Consider the following 24,698-nt stretch of genomic DNA (forward strand, 5'->3'; position numbering starts at 1 on the left):
CCTACAAATCCTATGTATGATTTATGAAAGTGCGAGTAGTGAGGAAATGGCCACAGACTGCGCATTAGTTACCTGAAACATAATAACTGTAGTTTTCTGTTTACCTTGTGATAGAGTCTTATATCCATGAAAAACCCATGCATATATGCCCGGAGGAAAGGAGATCCAATGAGGTGGGTGAGCCCTGGGAAAGGTCAAACAGAAGACAGCAGGTCCTTATGCAATCTTCATTAACATTCAACAGTTTTTCTTGGGCAACAATTTGATTATAGTAAGATTTCACTTCAGACTAAAAATTTAAGGATTAGAATTACTAATCTTCTTTGATATCTATAGAGAACATTTAATCTACTTCAGCAATATCATCCTTATTTTAAATGTAATAATACTACACACAAAAATGATGAGAAAGTCCTTATGAACTAAGACAAAGAGGGTTCCCTTATACCCTCTGAGTGGTCCTCAGATTTTTTATTTCCACAAACAAGTTCAATTTAGAAAATAATACTGGGGATCAACAGTAAGTTGCCAAATTGAAATGAGGAGAAGGGAGAGAGGAGAAACATTGTCATCGACCATTTGCAAAGACAAAGGACACTCACAAAAACAACGTAGAAAGAACCGTCTTCCAAGAAAGAACAGCTGACAAATTCCTACCACCATATATAAACATACATACATGCATATTAATACTCATATCACATATGCACTCCTCATCAGGGACTAATGAAAAGTCCACTGCCAGTCAGCATTTGAGAACCCTGCCTCAAACAATACTTTCACAGAGTTTCCCAGTTTTAATAGGTTACACTTAGAATTTGTGGTGCTGGTGGTCACATAAGAATGCTCTATGTCACAGGAATTATTTATTAATTCCAAATATTGACACAGAAAAAGACTGAGATCTTCAAAATAAGTCCACATGTGATGTACTCACATGCAGAACATTTACGATATATGTCAGTGGTCCCCAACCTTTTTGGCACCAGGGACTGGTTTTGTAGAAGACAATTTTTCCACGGATGCAGGGAGGGACAGTTTCAGGACGAAACTATTCCACCTCAGATCATCAGGCATTAGATTCTCACAAGGAGCCCACAACCTAGATCCCTCGCATGTGCAGTTCACACTAGTTTCACGCTCCTATAAGAATCAAATGCCACGGCTGGCAGGAGGCGGAGCTCAGGCAGTCATGCTCACTTACCACTCGCCTCCTGCTGTGTGGCCCGGTTCCTCATAGGCCACCCACCAACTGGTATGGGTCCATGGCCCAGGGGTTGGGGACCCCTGGTATAAGTGACTGTCTTTCTAAGGAAAGCATTACTCTAATTTCCAAATTTTAGAAATATACATCCATCTAGACCTGAAAATCAAGTACTGAGCAAAATCATACAGTAGTATAAAATAGTATATGTTATAGAACAATATAAAAAAGAAAATTAAATTTAGGATATTCTCATAACGGAATTCTAAAACTTGATTAGGAAAATACTGTCATAGAATTCATTAGGTTAATAAAAATATGGGGTTTGCACTTTCACAATGGAGTCCTAACAAAAGAGGGCTGAGCCTTAATGAAACGTGAATGTATACAACTGCACGTGTATATTCTCTAAATCTTCCTCAGGATAAGGGTCTGATTAACCACTACATTATAAAATACATATACCAGTGATTGCAAAAGTAATTTTTTGTTTCCTTTATTAATGTCACAGAATTAATCCAAGTCAGGTCATAAATAAAAACCAAGTGAAGCGCTTTTCATAGCGAAACAGTCCTAACCCGAGAATCGGATGCAGCAGCATTTCCTACAGTTAACTCCATGGATCACTAGTCCCAAGAGATCTTCTGAGAAAAAAGGGCTCCATGGTCAAGTAAGTTTGGGAAATGTTTCATACTTTCCTTCCGTTTGGAGATTTACAATGTATGATGGTATTAAAGGCTCTAAGAAGTATGCGAGGTAAAGAAATTGATTTAACTGTGCTTAACCTAGCATTTCCCAAACTTATTTGCCACAAATCTCCTAAAATAAAAGGGTGCTGAATATTTTCCAAGCATTTTCTGATTCATTCTCCAGGCAACCCTATAGGTTGGGACCAATATTATTCCCATTTTACATATGAGGAAACCAAGGCTTAAAGAGGCGAAGTGAATTGGCCAAGTTGTGCAGATATTAAGTGAGAAAGGTGGGATGTAAACCCATGTCAGTCTACCTGTAGTGCCCACAATATCAGCCACTATGCTATCCACCCAGTCCTTTTTACAGACGTAATTTTCCAAAGAACGCACTGTGGGAAATACCAAGCTATAAGATCTGCTGTTGGCCATATCCAGAAGAGTCAGAACTTGCAAATCTTCAATATACTAATGCTGCACTAAAAATAATCTTAGGAAGTAAGGGAAGTTCATTACTTACTTCTACTCTTAAGATATTCTATTTAGAAGGTTTTATATATTATGGGGAAATGATAAAAGCTCATTTGACATCAAAAGATATTAGTAATATACATAAAATGCTTTCTAGTATAACTGTCATTTTGTTGAATATCTATTTCTATAGTTTTAAAAATGAGCAGTACAATTACTTTTTAACAAAATATACCTAAACTTATATAACTCCTTTTTTCACCCAAAATAAACCCAGTAAAGAAACTGAAAAAGAACCCAAAATGTACTAAACATAGTAGTTTTTAAAAAATCCATAAAAGAACAATGACCTTTTTTCATTCGATTTAAGAATGTAGGTGAGTGTGACAGCATATTATGAAAATTACGTTGGAGACACTTAAGAAGGCACTGCAGTAAGAAGGTCCTATTTCATTCAAGTCATTTTTTAAAAGGCTAAATTCAGCTCTTTTTTGGTAGTAACTGACAGAAAGTAATTCCGCCTGGATTAACTGTGCTATGAGATATGGGTTAAAAAGGAAGTTTAATTAATCTAATGGTAACATGATTCTGTTTTAATACTCAACTGTTGTTGCACATCTATTTGTTCCAAAGACAACTAAGTTGCCTTGCCTTGTATAAAATGGATCCTCTAAGTTTTCCCACTCTCAGTAACTTCTGCTGTAGCCCTCTGACAGCAGCAGAACAAGATGAGCACCATCTACTCTAACCTAGAGGAGGGCTAGGCAAGCAGGCGCAACATGTCCTGCAGGGGCTGGGATGGCTGGGGAAAGGGCACGGACTCTTGGATTTAAAGCTCAACTCTCAAGTTTACTACCACTGAAACTTCTGGCAATGTACATTTATCTTTTTTTTTTTTTTGCCTCAGTTTCCTTATCTAATGGAATCATAATAGTACCCAATCCATAGGGATGTGAAGATTAAATGAGTTACATGTAGAACGCTTAGAATACTGCCTGCACAGACTGGGCGTGGTGGCTCGCACCTGTAATCCCAGTACTTTGAGAGGCTGAGGTGGGTGGATCACCTGAGGCCAGGAGTTCAAGACCAGCCCGGCCAACATGGTGAAACCCCGTCTTACCATGCTGCATGGCAGTGCACATCTGTAATCCCAGCTACTCGGGAGGTTGAGGTAGGAGAATGACTTTAGCCTAGGAAGCGGAGGTTGCAATCAGACAAGATTGGGCCACTGCACTGCAGCCTGAGTGACACAGCAAGACTCTGTCTCAAAAAAAAAAAAAAAAAAAAATACTATCTGCACATAGTAAGCCCTATCTCATAAGTATTTGCTGTTCTTTTAAGACACTTCTTGGCTTGTGACCTTCAAACATAAAGTAACTATTAAGGTTCTTCTACATCTGAAGTTTCAATGTATCACTTCTAAGTTTTGGATTGGGTCTTTTATAATCAAACCTAAAAGGGAGGCAGGAATCATTTACTTGCCGTCTCTGAGACATTTTCAAAACCTTATTATACTTCAGATAATACTGGTGAAAAAAAAATCACTCCTTTCGTGACAATTTTTTTCCTCTATAATAGCTAGTATGCTAAAAGAAATTATTTGCTAAAATAAATTCTCATTTAAAATACAAAAAAGCTTCAGCATGTTAAATTTACTTGAACTTTTCTCTAAGGAGAAAGGTTACAAATCTGACAATTTATAATATGTTTAATATCTGATTTGGCAGAAAGGGAAGATTTAGGAGATGAGGTAAACATGGCTCAGCCAATTCTCATGTTCAAAACTCAAAAAAAAAGTAGAAATAAAGTAATTACATAATATTTCATCACAATTTTTTTTTTACCTAAATTTTCAAGGTCTTTCTTGGTGACAAATTTATAATCATCATAGACTGTGCTTTCTGGATTCTCTTCTAATTCTTCGGTCAAGTTGTCTAAGAAGGAACACCACCGAGGAGCAGGACCCAAAACCTGTTGGTGTTTATGAGAAGGTCAGCAAAGGCACAGTTTACCACGCCATCCAAGTCTCAGTTATTTATAACCAGATTTTGTTAAACATGATTTCTAAATCCTTTTTTCTATCAGAAGTATTGACAAATGGATGCAGTATGTATAATGAACAAGTATATAACAGAAGAGAATAAACAAAGTGGTAAATGTTTAGGCTTGTAAGAGAAAACAACCTCACTTAGTCTAAGGTACAAAAGTATGAATGAATGTTCTTATATTAGCACTATCAAAGTACAGATAAATAATTCAGATACTTATAATAACATCCATCCATTCATGTATCACCTCCTTCCTTCAAAATACTACTAGAATTCTACAAAAGCATTATTTGGTACACTAGATTTTTTAAGTTTGCCAAACAAAAGTCTAAAAGAAAAATTACCTTTTTAAAAAACAATATTTATTATTATTATTATTATTATTATTTTGTAGAGATAGGGTTTTGCCATGTTGCCCAGGTTGGTCTTGAACTCCTGAGTTCAAGCAATCTGCCAGGCTCAGCCACCACACTCGGCCCAAAATTACTTTCTTTTAAGATTTTTCAACTAATTACTTGACAATTACATTCCATTCTGCATGGTCCACTTCATTTAATTCATTTAACTCATTAAAAACTACAATTCTAGACTATAGTTAATGGCAATATATTGTATTCTTGAAAATCGCTAAGAGAGTAGATTTTAAATGATCTCATTACAAAAAATGGTAAGTACTACGTGAGGTGATGCAAATGTTAATTAGCTCAATTTAGCCATTCCACAACATATACATGTTTCAAAATATCATGCGGTACACAACAAATACATGTAATTTTTACTTGCCATTTAAAAATAATTAGTTGATTTTTTAAATTTCTGTATAAATAAGTCTTCAAAACTAAATGGGTGACCAGGCTCCACGAGTTATCCCAATGAAAGGCTGAGGAACAAAAGGCTGAACAGAATTATAACCAACTAATAAAATATGAATCATTAAGTTTGTAATCCAACTATGAAAAAATATAATCCACCTACTTTCATAAAATACTATGATCACTTTGTACATTTTTGCTATTGATACAAATCTTTCCCAACAAAATGCCACACCCGCTGAGGTCAATGTATGCCAAAGGAAACCTTGGCTCAGTCAACAGAGAAGATATGCTAGCGAAATCCTCCCTTAAGCTAGAGGTAATGAGAGAACACTGGACTCGGGCAAAATGGAACTTCCAGTGACGACTTAACCTGTTTATTTCAGTAGCAATCAAGCATACTGGAAAAAAACCCAGAAATCATAATGGAAATTATTAAATCTAGCTTAAACTTTCTGAAGAAGGAAAGGCAGAAGGAAGAGAATTATAACAAAGAAAAACAGCCCCTGTTAACACCCTCTTCAAATAAAAAGAAAAGTAAATGTTAGATATGGCCATAATAATTTAGTGACATTATTTTGCCGGATTAGAAAGAGTGATTCTCTTCACCTCAACACAGCTATGGTACTCATAAACATGAAAAAAACTCGAGCATATATAGTCTTCCACAGAAACTTCATATTAGTGCAATCTACAATTTTTAAAAATAGAAGTAAAGGTTTTTATATACTAAGTGGTTTGACTCCAACCATAAAAGACAAACCTTCAAGAAATGCAAGGCATTTTTAAAAAATTCCATATAGAACACTTTTTAAAAGAACTGCTATGGTTTTAAGCAATTTTAGGACAGTAGCTTGAAGTCAACAACTAAATGCTACCACATACAAAGCACTGTGCTAAATTAAAGACACTGACCACAATCTCCCTGAAGAAGTTTAAAATCCAGCTGAAGCACATGTGTGCACTTGCATGTCCACACACACGCACATACACACACAATGTGTGTGCAATGAACTCAGACTGCACTGAGTCGAAGGGGAAGATGGCTTAAAAAAAACTAGGGAAGGCTGGGACACCGAATTAAGTCTATTTGAAAGGACTTCATGGCCGGGCGCGGTGGCTCACGCCTGTAATCCCAGCACTTTGGGAGGCCGAGGCGGGAGGATCACGAGGTCAGGAGATTGAGACCATCCTGGCTAACAAGGTGAAACCCTGTCTGTACTAAAAATACAAAAAAAAAAAAAAAAAAAAAAATCAGGCGCGGTGGCGGATGCCTGTAGTCCCAGTTACTCGGGAGGCTGAGGCAGGAGAATGGCATGAATCCTGGAGGCAGAGCTTGCAGTGAGCCAAGATCACGCCACTGCACTCCAGCCTGGGCGACAGAGCGAGACTCTGACTCAAAAAAAAAGAAAGGACTTCATGTCGGAAGGAGCACATGAGCAAGCTAGGAAAATCACAGGCATCTTCTGAAGCCGAGAGAGTTGAGGCCCTTGTAACTACAGGGGTATCTGCTTCCAGTGAGTCATAAACCTGCAAATGCAAAGCTCTATCAGATAATGGTGTACTCCCTAAAACAGCAATCTTTTCTTTTCTAGACGAGATCAAAGTATGCTATTATTGCTTTTTTAGAATATAATATCCAAGATATTGTCCTCTGAGGAGAGACATCTGTTTTGTTAACTGCTGAATTTTTAGTACCTAGAACAGTGCCTGCCAAATAGTAGGTGCTCAATAACTATGTGATAAATAAATCTATTCATGTACAAAACACATATGAATTTCATATGCATCAAGTACTAAAACTGAAAGGGTCCTCTCCGGCAAAAGTATTTCTAAATTGGTCTAATATTCCTTATTCAGACAAAAACACTCAAATACCTCACCATAAAGCTACTGGGTATATGAATACTTCTGGTGAAAGTTAGATCTATCTTGATTCCTATACAAGGGTACACTGTTACCCAAAGAACCTCAAAATAAATTGTTCCACCTTTTTAAATCAATCATAAACATGGGCTTCAAAGACAATAAAAAGATTATACTGTGTGCACTGACTTTCAAAGGTGAAGGCAGGAATACTAAAACAGTCTAGATGTGAATTGACTTTCACATAGCCCTCTTTTATAATGTTCCACAACATTCTTTCTGATTATCTAGATTTTAATGGAAGTGGTTTAAATTGCCTGTCAGGGGACAGGTCTAGTTATGGTAAATAATCTCTGCAATCAGATTCATGGCCATTAAATTTTCTAGGAAAAAATATTTCCATCAAAAACAAAATTAAATCTAGCAGTTGACCTTATTAATCACATTTCCTGAGTTCCTTTTCAGAGAAAAAACATCAAAACCACCATAACAAAGTTGAAATTATTGATTTACACTGGTATAAAATGCAGGTTTTATCCACATTAGACCTTTCGTCAGAGGCCTACCATTAAGTTTCAAAAACAGTGGCCAGCTTAGCCAATAAGGAGGGCTCAACCACAGGCACGTCACACTCTCTGATGTAGCTACATCACAGCGTCAATGTGTAAAATGTCTTTATTGCCTTCATAGCCATAAAATATGTTAAACCTCAACTAATCCTTTGAAATATATTAATTTACTTTCTAAATTCCACATTTTACAACTTGAGGAAAACATCCTTTTTAGCCATATATGGACTATCACTACTACCTCAAACTTTCCAGGTTTTCTGTCCTGCTGTTACATTGCTGTATTCTATGCTTCAGTCATACCATGTTGCCCATGCTGTGGTCAATTTATAAGACTTTCTTTTTTTCTTTTTATTTTTTTAGAGACAGGTTCTTGCTGTGTTGCCTAGGCTGGTCTTGAAACTCTTGAGAGCCTCCAGAATAGACAGAATTACAGGCAGTGGTACTGCGCCCAGCAAATATTTCTTCAACTCACAGGTCAGTATTAATAAAAGTAGAAAATTGAAAACTGATTCATCAGATTGCTAGAAAGGGATAATGTGGCTCCCTTAGCAACTTTAATGATAATCATATCAACCAATCTAAATGGAAATACTTGATTCTATAAAATATGAATCTTTATGTACCAACATGCTACAAGAAGGCCACAACTCAAATGCAGCAAAGTATCTGCTTGTGCCAATCTACTTGAGCGGAAGAACCAATTTTAAAGGACATGAAAATACATGCCATGTGCCCAAGATGATCACTGCTTCTATGATTACAATTTGTCTTTAAGATGTTAATTATAAAACTCAAAATTATCATGTATTCCTGTAAAGCACTACAAGTGGGGAGGAAAAAGGGTGAACACTAAAAATCTTAGGGGCCAGGTGCAATGGCTCACGCCTAATCTCAGCACTTTGGAAGGCCAAGGCAAGAGGACTTCCTGAGCCCAGGAGTTCAAGGTAGCCTGGGCAACACAGTGAGATCCTGTCTCTACAAAAATACATATTGTTGGCCAGGCACAGTGGCTCACACCTGTAATCCCAGCACTTTGGGAGGCTGAGGTGGGCGGATCGCCTGAGGTCAGGAGTTCGAGACCAGCCTGGCCAACACAGTGGAACCCCATCTCTACTATAAATACAAAAATTAGCCAGGCGTGGTGGCGCATGCCTGTATCCCAGCTACTCAGGAGGCTGAGGCATGAGAATCGCTTGAACCCGGGAGGTGGAGGTTGCAGTGAGCCAAGACTGTGTCACTGTACTCCAGCCTGGGTGACAGAATTAGACCCTGCTTCCCTGCTTAAAAAAACAAAACAAAACAAAAACAAAAACAAAAACAGACTGTTAAAATTAGCTGGGCATGATGGCATGTACCTGTAGTCCCAAATATTATCCCAGGAGGGTGAGATAGGAGGATCCCTTAAGCCCAGGATTTGGAGGCTGCAGTGAGCTATGATGGTGCCACTGCCCTCCAGCCTGGGCAACAGAGTGAGACCCTGTCTCTAAGAACAATAAAAATAAAAATAAAATAAATACTCTTAGGGAGCTGAAAGAAGATACTCCTTCCCTCACTCTACTTTAGAAAAATCACTGTGCTACATCCCAAAGCTGTGCTGAGACAGAAAAAAAGATTGAAGATTACCAGATAAATGGTTTTAACAGATCAAGGGTGATTAAAACAACAACAAAGTACTATTAATATTATAGACAAAGAACCAAAGTCTACTAAACCAATACAAATGCCATCATTTTTTTCTGCTTATTTATAATGCTACTGAGTATGACAAAGCCTTTCATTATCTAACGTACTATTAATGGAACAAATAAGAAAATAATTGATAACATAGAACAGCCATTAAATTTGAAATTATCTTTTTTTAGAAATATTATTTTTTTTCTTTGAGACACAGTCTCCATCCGTATCCCAGGCTGGAGTACAGTGGCGTGATTTAGGCTCACTGCAACCTCTGCCTCCCAGGTTCAAGCGATTCTCATACCTCAGCCTCCTGAGTAGCTGGGATTACAGGCACTCACCACCACAACCAGCTAAATTTTTGTATTTTTAGTAGAGACGGGGTTTCACCATGTTGGCCAGGCTGGTCTTGAACTCCTGACCTCAGGTGATCTGCCCATCTTGGCCTCCCAAAGTGCTGGAATTTCAAGAGCGCCCAGCCTAGAAATATTCTTTTACAAGCCTGGGCAATGTAGTGAGGCCTTGTCTCTACACATTTTTTATATATTTTTTAAAAATATTAAAAAATTAACCAGGTATGGTGGCATGTGCCTGTGGTCCCAGCTATTCCTGAGGCTGAGATGGGAGGATCACCTGAGCCATGATCACGCCACTGCATTCCAGCCTGGGCAACAGAATAAGACCCTGTTAAAAAAAAAAAAGAGAGAAAGAAGACCAGAGAAGACAAGAAGAGAAAGAAAAAGAATCACATGGAAAAAGGACCTAAGTAAATTATTTTAATTTCAGGAATAAAACTGAAACCATGAAATGTAATGAAATAGATTTTAATTCAATTTTTATTCATCACATATTTATTAAATTCCATATTTATTATGTTCCAAGTACAGTATACCCTATAAAAATAGTAGAATGAAACCCAAAAGGAACAGAGTTGTTTCAAATACAGCAATACTTATGTGGAAGGACTAAATTATTCTTAATTTCTTCAACTTCATTCATTCATTCAAAAAGTTAACTGAGCATTTGGTAAAAGTTAAGTGCTAAAGTCAAACATAAGTAAGTGGAAAACAATCAAGTACAATACAATGGGATTAGTGCCAAAACAGAAATTTTTAAAAGGTTCTAGGAAGCCCTTTATCTGCTGAGGCCGATCAAGATAGCTTTGCAAGGGGCACTTGAGCAAGGCCCTGAACAACTGAGAGGCTATGGTTTCATAACCAGGAAAGCTTAACTGCCACACTAAATAGTAAGAATGTAGTGCTACATAAAATTAATATATTTCACTGATTACACAGAAGATGTTTAGTTAAAAGAATTGTCATTTTTACCTTTCAGTGATCTTATACTATTACAATCCTAGAAATTGAATTTAAACTTTTATGTTATAATGACACTATTAAATCAAACAGGTAAGAACTACATTTACTAACAGCAACAGGGAGTTTGAATATAAAAGTTTTTTTTACCACCTAACAACCATATCAAGTATCTAGTTATTTTATTATAGAACTGTTTTCAGGACACTCTAAAAATAGATATAAATATCAGTTCTGGAACTGGAACAATAATAAAAACAATAACAACAATAAAAATAATAATAGCACTAGCAACCCACACTCTAAGAGGTAGAGGGTTTTTATCCCCCATTAGAATTTTTTTTTTTTTTAGAAGGAGTCTCACTCTGTCACCCAGGCTGAAGTGCAGTGCCACGATCTCAGCTCACTGCAACCTCCGCCTCCCGGGTTCAAGTGATTCTCCTGCCTCAGACTCCCTAGTAGCTGGGACTACAGGCATGCACTACCACACCCAGCTAATTTTTGTATTTTTAGTAGAGACAGTGTTTCACCACGTTGGCCAGGCTGGTATTGAACTCCTGACCTCGGGTGATCCGCTCACCTCGGCCTCCTAAAGTGCTGGGATTATAGACATGAGCCAGAGTGCCCAGCCCGCTATTAGAATTTAAATCCAGGTCTAACCAGAAATCTGTTACCCTTACTGTGAGGCCATGATTCTTTTTGGGAAACAGGATCTTGCTGTTGCCCAGGCTGGAGTGCAGTGGTATGACCATAGCTCACTGCAGTGAGGCCCTGGTTCTTTAACAGAAACAACTGGAACCAGAGTTTGAAACAAATAACTTTTTGCATTTTAAAAAAGTAATACAGTATGTATGCTGTATATAACAAAAAAACTTCAGTAAGGTCTGGGTCAGTAGCCCATGATCAAATCATATTAACATCTCTGCAGCAAAACCTACACAAATTCATACCAGTGATTTGGGATAAACACAGACCTACAAAGAAATTCATTATTTCACATAGGTTGAAGTCCTAATAAATCAGGTCCAGTCAGGGTTTACCACAGGGTTATAAACAAACTTTCAAGGCTTTTTAAATTTCAGAATTGCAGATAAGAGATGATGGAGTTGTACTATAATGTATATACACACTATACATAGCTACATATGGTAAATATATACTAAATATAGATATACTATAAATATCACTGACCACTATTATGATTAATGATAATTTTTCTAATTACCTAGCCTGCATCTCCTGTGGGAAAATGGGATTTTGCCAATTAAGAAAACCAACTCTGCATATAAACTCAAAAGAAAATTTTCTTTTCCAGCTTTTCTTCCATTATTGTTGGAAAGGCCTCACTAGGAGCAGCAGCATGTATTTTCAAATTCTGACAGCTGAGGCTTAATAAATGATCATAAACCCAAGAGAACACTGGGTGAGCCAGAGGGAGTGGCCATGACCTTAAGCATGTAATTGCATTTGCAGCATAATGAGCTGCCTAATTGCATATCCAAGTTTACATGCATTTGTGTGAGTAATTATGAGTCATTTAAATGTACTCTACTTGTAGTGTTTTGTTCTTAAAAATCAGATTAGCAAAGAAGCAATTTAATTTCAACATTTTAAAAGATTTATTTTTAAAAAAGAAAAACTATTACCTGCCATGACTTAATATTTGAAAAGATAATTTAGGGACTGAAATGAAATAACAAGAAAAATAAGGCCAAGTTAAAAAAAAATTGTTAAGATTCCTTAAGCCACTATCTCACTAATAGCCCATCAAGCAATAGTCAATTTTTGTGACACTATGAGTAGAGATACACATGACAGAGTGCCTTCAGTCAAGGGCTAGCAGAGACAGGACGCCCCAAGCAAACATTTAAACACCAAATTAAAACTGATGTTAAGAAACACAGAGAGCTTTTGGTTAATAGTGGTACCCCCATCGCTGTCAAGCCTTTTTAAAATGACAGTAAATAACTTTTAAAAGGTATTAACCTTTAAGGACAAAAAGAACTGAAGAAGAAGATGCAGTAATTTAAGAAACTTAACCGGGTAAACATGAGAGCTTACAGAGGTGAACAGCAAAGAGAAAAGATTCCTCTCTCAGAATCCTTGGGACAAGAACTTCAAGGCTCTAAGCATGGGGGACGACAGGATGAGGCACAGGCCCGAATAAAGGGGGAACAATGGAGCTGATGAACACCCAAATCCCCACCATGCCTAAAGAGACCAGAAGATAATTCTCTGGAGGAGGGGAACCAAAGCTGCCCTATGTGCGGGGTGGGTGGGGAGTATGCCACCAGGCACAGGTGACTTGAGCTGTGGGGCTAAAGTCAGGACAATTAATGGCAGTCTAGACATCAAACTGTGGGACCCTCGCCTCCTTTTCCCAGCCCCTGGAATGCCAAAGTCAAGCCTATGCTGCTGTGCGTCCACTCTACCAGCCCAAACCCCTAACACCTCAGAACAAAACTGGGGGATTCTTCTCTGGAGTAAATGAAAGGTCCCAGAAGACAGACTTTAAGATATTGATATCTGGGTAGAGTCATTAGCTGAAGGGTCCACATGAAAACTACCAGTGGACAACACCACCCTGCATTTTTTTTTTTTTTTTTTTTTTTTTTTTTGAGGCAGAGTCTTGCTCTGTCACCCAGGTTGGAGTGCAGTGGTGCGATCTCGGCTCACTGCAACCTCTGCCTCCTGGATTCTTGTGCCTCAGCCTGCCAAGTAGCTGGGATTACAGGCGTGTGCCACTACGCCTGGCTAATTTTTGTATTTTTAGTAGAGACGGGGTTTCACCATGTTGGCCAGGCTATTCTCAAATTCCTGGCCTCAGGTGATCCGCCCGCCTTGGCCTCCCAAAGTGCTGGGAGTACAGGCATGAGCCACCGTGTCTGGCCCCAGTTGGCATTTTAGCACCTCATTCTTCATTTTTTTTTGTTTTTTTGAAACAGGGTCTCACTTTATCACCCAGACTAGAGTGCAGTGGTGCGATCTCAGCTCACCGCCACCTCAACCTCCCAGGTTCAAGCAATCCTCCCACCTCAGCCCTTCAAGTAGCTGGGACTACAGGTGTGTGCCACCATGCCCAGCTAATTTTTGTATCTTTTGTAGAGATGTAGTTTCGCCATGTTGCCCAGGCTGGTCTTGAACTCCTGAGCTATAGTGATCCACTGGCCTCGGCCTCCCAAAGTGCTGGGATTACAGGAGTGAGACACCACGTCTGGCCCTCATTCTTAAATAAGAACAGGTTGCCTAAGCTCCCTCCCCATTCACTTATTCAACAAAGAGTTACCTCCCCATTCACTTATTCAACAAAGAGTTACCTCCCCATTCACTTATTCAACAAAGAGGCAGGCACTTTCCCTTCTCTCTAGATACTCAGTGACAAAACACAGAACAATCCCCACCCTCAAGGAGCTTACCTTCCAGAAAGGGGAAACTACAAACAAGGGAGAGGCAGTGGAGAGTATGACAGACAGAGACTGGTGCTGTGGAAACTGAAGGAGAGAAGGCAATGAAGAATAGAGGGGAAGGGGAGATGATGGACAGGGACCCAAGGGGCAGGAGGGAGTGACCCTCAAGACTACCTGACAACTACAAAGGCCTAGAGGTTGGAATTGCTTGGCATGTTTGTGGATCAGTAAAAAGACCAGCCCAGTGTGGCTTGAATAGAGAGAGCAATGGTGAGCAGGGGCATTCATGAGGATCACTCTGGCAGAGGCTGGGCGACTGACTGGTTCCGGGCATTGAAGGAAATCTCTGTTTATTCATTAGCTGACAGTTCGGCAACGAGCAGAGACTTCAGTGGTCACACGTTAGAAAGAAATCAGATTTTATAGAATTAGTCCAGGACAGTCACTAAACAAACAACCACAAACCCTGGGGACCTGGGGGAGGGACTGAGTTCCATAATTCCTAAATTATGTTACTTAAAGCATCCAGCTTCCAACAAAAAAATTACAGGACACACAAAGAAACAAGAAAAGCAGGGTCCATATGAAGGGAGGGGGAAAGTTGCCAGAGAACTCATCTTTAAGAGACTAGCTACTTCACTAAGTCCAAACACTGGACTTAGTAAAAACTGGATAATGACATTCATCCACTGATGAATGGGTGAACAAATGTGATAATATCCACACAATGGAATGTCACTCAGCAATCAAAAGGAATAAAGTACTGAGACATGGTACAACATGGACGGGCCGGGAAACATGCTGAAGAAAAAACAGACCACGTACTGTACACGAATGTCCAGAAAAGGCAAATGCATAGACAGAAAGTAGGTGAGTGGTTGCAGGGGCTGGGAGAGGGAGGAGAAGGAAGAAAAACTGGCATGGGGTTTCTGGTTAGTGTGACACAACGTCATGGAATTAGTGGCAACCACTGCACAACTCTGGACTGTACACTTCATGTTTTTTTTTTTTTTTCTTTTTTATTTGAGATGGGGTCTCACTATGTTACCCAGGCTGGTCACAAACTCCTGGGCTCAAGCGATCCTCTCACCTCAGCCTCCCGAATAGCTGGGATTATGGGTGGGTACCACAGAGCCTGGCTTAGGACTATACACTTTAAAAGGATAAACTTCATGGTATGTGTATTATGTCTTTAAAAAGCTGTTTTTTTAAAAAAAAATGAATTAAGGAGGTTATTATGTCTCCTTAGTTTCCTTTAATGTAGGAGCCCCCACCTTCACTGACTTTCAGGATGTGGACATCTGCTCAAGGCTCAGGCCAGAGCTCTTAGAAAGAGCCCTGATTTGCAGGGGTTCCCCACAGTCCTCTGCTGATCACTGCTCATAATCAGATCCAGTTAAACCTTTCTGGCGAGAATCACACAGGCAATGCTGTGCCAAAAGAATACTTCAGACTATTTCTATACCATAAGCGATTGGCTCTGTATGATTAATATTTGCAAAGTCGTGTGTTTGCAGCACTTTATCTTCATGTGTTTTCCTATTTTTGTATTTTTATTTTTTTGTATTTTGGGTATAAAATGAGGTTCCAGGAAGGCGGCCCAGTTAAGGTTTGTCTGGGGACTATTTGCCAGGAGCTACCCTGGCTTAGGAAGGGAGGCCAGAAAAATCTAAGAAACATTTATTCCCACCTACTACCCCAATAAACAAATAAATTGGAAAGATGGTAGGTTTGAGGATGGGGCACACCTCAGTTCTTTTCAAAGGGAGGTGACAGGAAACTACTTTTTAGCAAACTTATCTGAAAAGACTATGCCTACACTCTGCTATTTCACCAAACAAAAATATATACAAAATCAATTCACTCCTTTTCCTTGTTAAACTTTTAACATTTACTTGAGGAGCTGGAATGTGAAGGAAGCTTCTGGGAAACCAAAGGAATAATTTGCTGAAAACTAAATTCACGTACCTAACGGAGGTTTATAAACTTTGAACTTAAGCAGGATTCAGAACATGCAAGCTTGGTGAAAACCAGATATTCCTAAAACATTTAGGAACAGGACATACAGAATTACTTTCAAATGAACCACTGTAGTATGTATGTAGGTATGTATGTATTTATGTATTTATGAGACAGAGTCTTGTTCTGTCACCCAGGCTGGAGTACAGTGGCATGATCATAGCTCACTGCAGCCTTGATCACGGGCTTAAGCTATCCTCCTGCCTCAGCCTCCTGAGTAGCTGGGACTACAGACATGTACCCATGCCTAGCTAATTTATTTTTTAATTTATTTTATTTTGTAGAGACGGGGTCTCACTATGTTGCCCAGGCTGGTCTTGAACTCCTGGGCTCAAATGATCCTCCCACCTTGGCCTACCAAAGCAATGGGAGTACAGTTGTGGCCACCGTACCTGGCCAAACCACTGTAGTTTAAGTGTGTGAAAATTTTATTCAAAATCATGAAACTCACTCATAAAACATATCTGTTAAAGTTCTCTTTTAAATTCAAAACTGGATCTAACTTATTATTCTAATTTGAAGTGGAATAAAAAGCTTTACATATCTGTCTGCTTTTCATGAAACACTACAAATGACATGTTAAATAGCATAAAAAAATCCTCAGCTGACATTTTTCTTCAATTCTCAAGGAAGAAAAAGAAAATCTGAACATGGCCCCAATCTTCTTCAAAGTCCACTGTTAGCTGAATAAAAAAACAGATGTTTATTTTAAGGTCTCCTATTCATTCTTTCCTGAAGAGCCTGGCCTTGCACCTCGGCTACAAACAGTCATTTGATGTTTATCATCATATTACACTTGAATTCCAGTGCAGTTTCCTAGAGTTCACTTCCAGACTTTGCAATAACAATGACTCTAAGCAATGTTAAAGTCCTCTACTTCTACCCTTTTCCTCTCCCAATTTCCTAACTACACCAAATGCTAAACTTGCCCACATGCACACGCACACATGCCCCAAGGATGCTAAAGGCACTACGCCAATTTTTTTACATGAGAATGTATTTATCTTTTTGATCATGCACCTGGTAATGAGCATCTCCCAAGATCTTGTTTTGTCATTTTATTCCTGCCAAGAGTTAGTAACACAGATGGTTTGGTGTGTTATCCTTAGCACATCAGTAGTTTCCTGGTTCTACTCGACTTCCTTGCAGGCAAAAGTGTTTATTAATAACTTTTCTGCATATTCTTATTGCTTTCTAATTCTTAATTTTGAAATCTATGTAAAAACTAAGGGTACCGATATATGTAAAAATACCCAGGGGGGGAAACTCGGCAGAAAAAAAGGAAGAGCAAAACTTTAAAAAAATTATATGTACACTTTTATTCAAGGTTCTATACCTTAACAGTGCTATTCTAGGAAGGTGAAAAAATATATTAACACCATTTAGCAGTTACCGATTATCTTGGGGAGGCGGTCATGCACGGAACTAGGAAATCCTGAAGAACGTATTTTAAATTCATACAAAATAAGATTTCCCATATGTTCCCCCAAATAAAGCTGAAGGAAAGAAAGCATGATACTGACACAGCAAAGGACATAAAGGAACTCAATCTGAACTCAGTGGAATAAAATGTGGTCAACCACAACAGTACTTAAGTAGAGTCTTAAGTATGCATAGTTTCCTCTGAGGTAATAAACAGGATTCCCACAAACATGTGATAATATTTAGAATCTCACTAAGATGTATATGTGGGTGTGCATGACTGTGGGAGGGAAGCAGTGTGTATATACTGTTGATTTTTGTTGTTGTTGTTGTTTTTGAGATAGAGTTTTGCTCTATTACCCAGGCCGGAGTGCAGTGGCATGATCTCACTTCACTGCCACTTCCACCTCCTGGGCTCAAGCGATGCTCCTGCCTCAGCCTCCTGAGTAGCTGGGACCAAAGGTATGCACAATAATGCCAGGCGAATTTTCTGTATTTTAATAGAGACGGTTTTGCCATGTTGGCCAGGCTGGTCTCGAACTCCTGAGCTCAAAAGATCCACCTGCCTCGGCCTCCCAAAGTGCTGGGATTACAGGCGTGCGTCACTGTGCCTGGCCGCTGCTAATCATTTTTTAGTGAAGTTTTAGGATAGATCCAAAAGACTTCATGTAAAATCTAAGCACCTGCAAAAAGAATATGAAGAGCTTTATTTAAAAAAAACCATACACATAACGAAATCTTTAAACTCATAAGGAAAAGAAAGTGATGAAGTTTGATAGGGGTGGTGGTGAGAGGCAAAAAAAACCAACTGCTATAATTCAATCAAAAATTTAACTTTGGGATGTGGTGGCTCAGGCCTGTAATCCCAGCACTTTGGGATGGCAAAGCAGGAGTATCGTTTGAGCCCAGGAATTCAAGACCAGCCTGGACAACATGGTGAGACTCCATCTCTATAAAACATACGAAAATTATCTGGGTGTGGTGGCACATTCCTGTAGTCCTGGGTACTTGGGAGACTGAGGTTGGGGAATCACTTGAACCCCGGAATTCAAGGCTGCAGTGAGCTGTGATCAGGACACTGCACTCCAGCCTGGGCAACAGAATAAGACCCTGTCTCAAAAATAATAAAAATAAAAATTAACTTTGGGCTTCTAGGCAACCAAGACAAAAGGAGATGCACAGTAAGGTCGACAGATACCCTTTACTTGCTAGAGGGAAGTACACTGATAGATCTGGAAGAAGAAATTCTCTGTTGGAACAAAACTCAAGCAGCAAAATATAGACCTTTAAAGGAGTCTGGCAACAAAATATATTTCTTTGAGAGGCTTACAGAAGTTCAACATCAAAGAAAATCATTAAACTATAATTGATGAAGACCAAAGCATGTGGTCTAAGGAAGTAGCCTAATGATCTCACTTGACTCTGGAATAGTTTAGAGCTATGCTGCCCAATAAGGCAGCCACTAAGCCACCTGTGGCGATTTAAGTTAAAATTAATTAAATGAAATTAAAAATTCAGTCCCTTAGATGCAGTACTCACATTTCAAGTGCTCAACAGCTACATGTGACTAATGGCTACCACACAGGACACAGCAGATATAGAACGTGTCCGTCATCACAGAAACGCTGGTGGCAGACTTTGGTTTAGAGAACTGGACAGCACTGGTTTAGAGAACTGGAAAATGTAGATGGTAAACAGTTAACACAGGAAACTATGTAAATAAAGTATGATATATCTACACAACAAAACACTATGCAACTATTAAAAAGAGAGCTTGATTTACGTGCTGACCAAAATGATATTGTGATCAAAAAAACCTTTGAGAATAGTATAAGGAGACCCTGATTCTGCTCAAGCCCCATGCCACGCTGTGTGTGTCATACGTGACTTGACTGCACAGCATGTGCACCAACTTGTTAGTAACTTGTTAATAATGGTAATGAAGGACTTTTATCTTCTTGGTTATGTATTGTTACAAGGTTAAATTTTTTTTTTTAGTTAGAGCGTTTTTCAAAAAAAAAGAGAGAAGAAAAAATAAACACCCCCAAAAGAATACAGGCACAGATGCAGATACCAAGTGGTGAACAAGTCCCTTACACTATCAAACTGAAACCTCAATTATTTCAAGTACTCTGTAAAGGAGCGGAGACCCAGCCCCTAATTCAACATTGAGGCTATTAGTGAGCACTCAAGTCAGTACTAGTGCTGCTGGCTGAGAACAGATATTCAAAGTGTAGATAATAAAGATGATTTTTTTTTCTCCAGAAAATTCAAGAACCTAACTCATAACCTTTGACCTTTTCCATGGAGATGAACCAGAAAAACAAAAGCTCAAAACTCCCTCCCAGGAAGCAGTTTAACTCATATATATGAAGAGTCAGAATTAAGACAATTCAAGATGGCCAAAACTGAATTTAGTATCTATTCCACCTTACCTCTGTGAATGGTACCACTGCTCATTCAGTTCCCCTCTCTCCCCATCATCCATCACTCCCCCACGAATCACCGCACTCTATGAGCACACTCCTTACTGTCTCTCACACCCAACTCTTCCCTCACCATGCCTACTGCCTTAAATGGGGCCCTCATTATTTTTTCTAATCAATTACAGTGTGTCCTATCCCTGGCTTCCAAAGACAACCCCCATTAAACAGGCAGAATAATCTAACACACCTATCTGATTTCAGTCCCTTGAATAAAACCCTTCAAAGGCATGCCACTCTAGTTAAAGCAAAAGTAAAATTTTAACATGGTACAAAAGGTTTGGCTTTAAGTCCTGATACTTCTCCAGTCTTACCGGAGAAGTATCAGTATCTCCCATTCCTTAAGAGCCGCTGAAAAACCCAAGCTCTTCCCAAACAGACTGAACGGACCGGGGCTCGTGGGTCTTACTTCAGCTCCCTCTGTACAGGATGATCTCCCTGATTCTGCCACCCTTCTATCCACCATCACTGCCTAATTCCTGAACGTCCTTCGAAATTTGAATGAAACATTACTTATGGGAAAGTGACTTTCTTACCTCTTGTAAGATCCTGTATACCAAAGTTCCTTATCACCTGTACTATCTGTTCCTTTACTAGACTATCAGCTCCTAGGCAGCAAGGCCCATCTCTTCAAACACCTTTGATATCCTAGTGCAGTTTTTGATATCCCACCCTTGGTCCTGGCACAGGAAAGATGCTCACTAAGTGTTTGTGTAACAAATGTTTGTATAATAAATGACCCAGCCCCCCAAATACTCAAAACTAACAACTAATTAACACAACTATCTAGTTAAGCCCAAAAAGACAAAAATCATGGTGTGTCATTTTCATGACTGACCAACATAAATAAATGATATTTGCAAATTAAAACAACAATAAGATACTATACGCTATAAATCGATTAGAATGGCTAAAACGCAAAAACATTGACAACACCAAATGCTGACGAGCATGTGGAGCAACAGGAACTCTCATTCACTGATGTCAGAAATACAAAAAGGTCTTTATTCTTGTTGCACAGCTGTTGTTTGGGGACTTCCCTTTGCCATCATCCTGGGATTTCCCTTTACCTCCTTCCTGTGTGATCTCTGGTTTCCTAAAATCCCTGTCTTCCTCTCTGTTAGGTTATTCCCTGTTTTGGTCAGTATATCATCCAAGAGTTTCCTGACAAAAGAGATGGGAAGGTAATTTCTTTCTCCAGAAGTAGATTTTTCTTTTCTTTTTTTTTTTTTTAATTGATCATTCTTGGGTGTTTCTTGCAGAAGGGGATTTGGCAGGGTCACAGGACAATAGTGGAGGGAAGGTCAGCAGATAAACAAGTGAACAAAGGTCTCTGGTTTTCGTCGTGCCACTACACTGAAGCCTGGGCAACAGAGTGAGACCCTGTCTCAAAACAGAAAAGGACCTATCAGCCCCAAGTGGAGCAGAACAGAGGGATTTGGGAGGAATGTCCTCAGAAAAAGATATTAAAACACAGTTATCTGATGAGTTTGAAGATGTAAAAAGTTCTACTGAAAGCCATTGTACACAGCGATAGGAAGACATGCCATAGATTAAAAAAAATAATAACCTAAGCAAATCAAAATTAGGTAACAAAAGTCCAGGAAAAACAAAAGCTTATAGATGGGAAATGTAGACAGTATACATCACTTAACTTAGAAATGAGCCATCATCGAAAATAATAAAAACACTGATTATGAATTTAAAAAAAAAAAGAAATACAAAAAGGTATGGGCACTATGGAGGACCATCTGGCAATTTCTCAAAACTAAACGTATTGTGACCATATGACATAGCAATTGGGTTCCTTGACATTTATACAAACAAGGTGAAAACTTATGTGCACATAAGAACCTACACGAGAATGTTTAGAGCGGCTTTATTCCTAACTGCCAAAACTGGAAACAACCAAGAGGCCTTTCAATAGGTGAATGGACAGACAAGCTGCAGTACATCCAGACAAGAGAATGTTATTCAGCGATAAAGGAAAATGAGCTATCATGCCACAAACAGACATGGAGGAATCTCAAAAGCATAGGATTAAGTGAAAGAAGCCAATCTGAAAAGCCTACATACTGTATGATTTCAGCTATATGACATTTTGGAAAAAAGCAAAACTAGAGACAGTAAAAATACCAGTGATTGCTCGGGGTTTGTGGGGTGGAGGAAGGGATGAACAGGTGGAACAGAGGACTTTTAGGGTAGGGAGACTATTCTATGTGATATTATGACCGTGTATACATGTCATTATACATTTGTCAAAACCCACAGAATGTACACCACCAAGAGTGGACTCTAATGTAAACTATGAACTTCAGGTGGTGATGTGTCAATGTCTGTTCACTGGCTGCAGCAAATGGACCACTCTGTTGTAAAGTGCTGATGGTGAGGGAGCGTGTGGGGGAGGGACATAAGAACTCTGTACTTTCCACTCAATTTTGCCGTGAGCCAAAAACTGCTCTAAAAAATAAAGACCACTGAATGAGTGAATGACATAACCATGTACAGACATGCAAGAAACATGGACAGGCAGATCTAACCTTTCTTTCAATGTCCCACTACTATCATTTACATATTACTTGTTTTCCAACCAAGAATAATGTTCTGTTCCTCAAGAAGGTAAACATATAATCCAAATGAGGATTTGTGCCCATGTCAAGATCTAATATTCGTTCCCATTTAACAATCTGTAATAACTACTTTCTAGAGCAATTTACGGTGCTAGTAATACAGTATAAGCCAACTTTACCTCCACCCCACCCCCACAAAAAAAAAGCCTGGGGGAAAAGCTGATGACATGGGAGCAAAAGGATGGGTAGAAGACGGGTTTGTTACATTTCTCTCTACTTTTATGTCTATTTGAAATTTTTTCTCCTCTAACCAATGAGAGACAAAATACATTTTTTTCATAATACATTAAAAAAATGTGTCAGGTCAGGTGTGGTGGCTCATGCCTATGATCACAGTACTCTGGGAGGCCAAGATGGGAGGATCCCTTTAGCTCAGGAGTTCAAGATCAGCCTGGGCAACAGAGTGAAACCCTGTCTCTATGAAAAAAAAAATTTTTTTTTAATTAGCCAGGCATGGTGGTATGTGCCTGTAGTCCCAGCTGCATGGGGCTGAGGTAGGAGGATTACTTGAGCCCAGGAGTTTGGAGGCTGCAGTGAGCCATGATCACACCACTGCACTCCAGCCTGGGAGACAGAGTGAGACCCTGTCTCAAAAAATAATAATAAATAAAACAAATTTTAAAAGGGTCAATATTCATTACTTTAAACCAGCATGCATGGAGTCAATGAAAGCCTATGAAGTATAAGACACTGTTCTAAGAACCAAGGACACAGCAAAAAGCACAACATACAAAGTTCCCGCCTTGTGGAGCTTACATCCTAAGTGGGCATCAGAAGAGAAACTTACGTTGGGATTTGAGAACACTGAATCAAAGTAGAGATGGTGTAAGTCCTAGAACTTTCTTATTATTTTCTGTATAAGGTGGGCCTTTTAAAAGAATGTAGTCTAAATTTCTGGCTTACTTGTATAAGCTACCTTCTTTTTTAAGGAAAAAACAAAACAAAACCAAAAAAAAAGAAGAGATAATGGCCATGTTAACTAAAGACATCGCCACCTAAGTGACTACACAACCAGGACACTGAAATACTAGGTTTAAGTCCGACTATATCTCATCCAAAATAAGAATGGCAACGAGATCGACTTGGTAAGCACCAAGATGGAGGAAATGCCGGAACCAGGAGACAAGGCCTTTGGTCAACATTGAAGTCAAACTAGCATCTGAATAGGAAGTTGTCATTTATTTTCAAGAAAATGGACATGCCAGATGTAAGACTATTTAAGCAAAAACAAACATCATCTGATACACTAACACAATATATGTCATATGTGTATCAAATATCTCCATGAAAATTACATACATTTTTACCCAATCAGAACTGAAATTAACTTTGAAAATGCGACAGGATGCTCAGAAAATTACTTCCTGATTGTCACACATTAATGCTTCTGTATGTCCGCTATTCTTGTGATCCAATAAATTGTGATGGGAAACGGGGAGGATATCCTTTGTTGAGAAAAAGGCCACAGATACTGTTACTACCTGAAAGTGTTTAGATTAAAATAGGAAGTCCACATTTCCCCTTTGTAAAGTCACAAACAACTTGTTTGTCTTACAAAAGAATCTGTATTAACCACCTGACATTTGTGCCTTGCTTCCCAGTTCATAGTTATGAATATATAACTGAAAAATCACAAAACAGAACTCCACACTTTTTCCCCATAAAATTAGGTCTTTTACCTTCCATAAGATGTCTTATCTTTCCGGATCTTTCTTATAGGCTTGGCTTTATCATTGTAATACCTTTCTTGGAGAATAAAATTAGGCATTTGTTTCTTTTATCCTATTATGAATCAAGACATCTTAAAAATACACATCTTCTCACACCTGTAATCCCAGCACTTTGGGAGGCTGAGGCGAGCAGATCACGAGGTCAGGAGATCGAGACTATCTTGGCTAACACAGTGAAACCCCGTCTCTACCAAAAATACAAAAAATTAGTCGGGCGTGGTGGCGGGTGCCTGTAGTCCCAGCTACTCGGGAGGCTGAGGCAGGAGAATGGCGTGAACCCGGGAGGCGGAGGTTGCAGTGAGCTGAGACTGCGCCACTGCACTCTAGCCTGGGTGACAGCGTAAGACTCCGT

The 24,698-nt window shown here is 39.1% G+C and overlaps 1 protein-coding gene across 12 annotated transcripts in view; it reads right to left on the reverse strand.

Annotated features, from left to right (window-relative positions):
- Window positions 1-24,698, reverse strand: part of NOL10 (nucleolar protein 10) — a 119,222-nt gene that overhangs the window by 32,220 nt on the left and 62,304 nt on the right. For 7 of the 12 annotated variants that reach the window (NR_048552.2, NM_001261392.2, NM_001261394.2 and 4 more), the window contains 2 exons: window positions 4,212-4,338; window positions 105-184 (listed from right to left, as the gene is read on the reverse strand). Coding sequence is in view for 7 of the 12 variants with exons in the window: in NM_001261392.2 (NP_001248321.1) it covers window positions 105-184; window positions 4,212-4,338 (207 nt within the window). In the remaining 5 variants the exon portion in view is untranslated. Of the gene's footprint in view, window positions 1-104; window positions 185-4,211; window positions 4,339-17,375; window positions 18,187-19,042; window positions 19,178-24,698 lie in introns of those variants that run through there. The other 5 variants (XR_007082293.1, XR_001738958.2, XR_007082254.1 and 2 more) reach the window with 4 other exon arrangements.

Source organism: Homo sapiens, chromosome 2 (assembly GCF_000001405.40).
Source record: "Homo sapiens chromosome 2, GRCh38.p14 Primary Assembly".
NCBI classification, from domain to species: domain Eukaryota; kingdom Metazoa; phylum Chordata; class Mammalia; order Primates; family Hominidae; genus Homo; species Homo sapiens.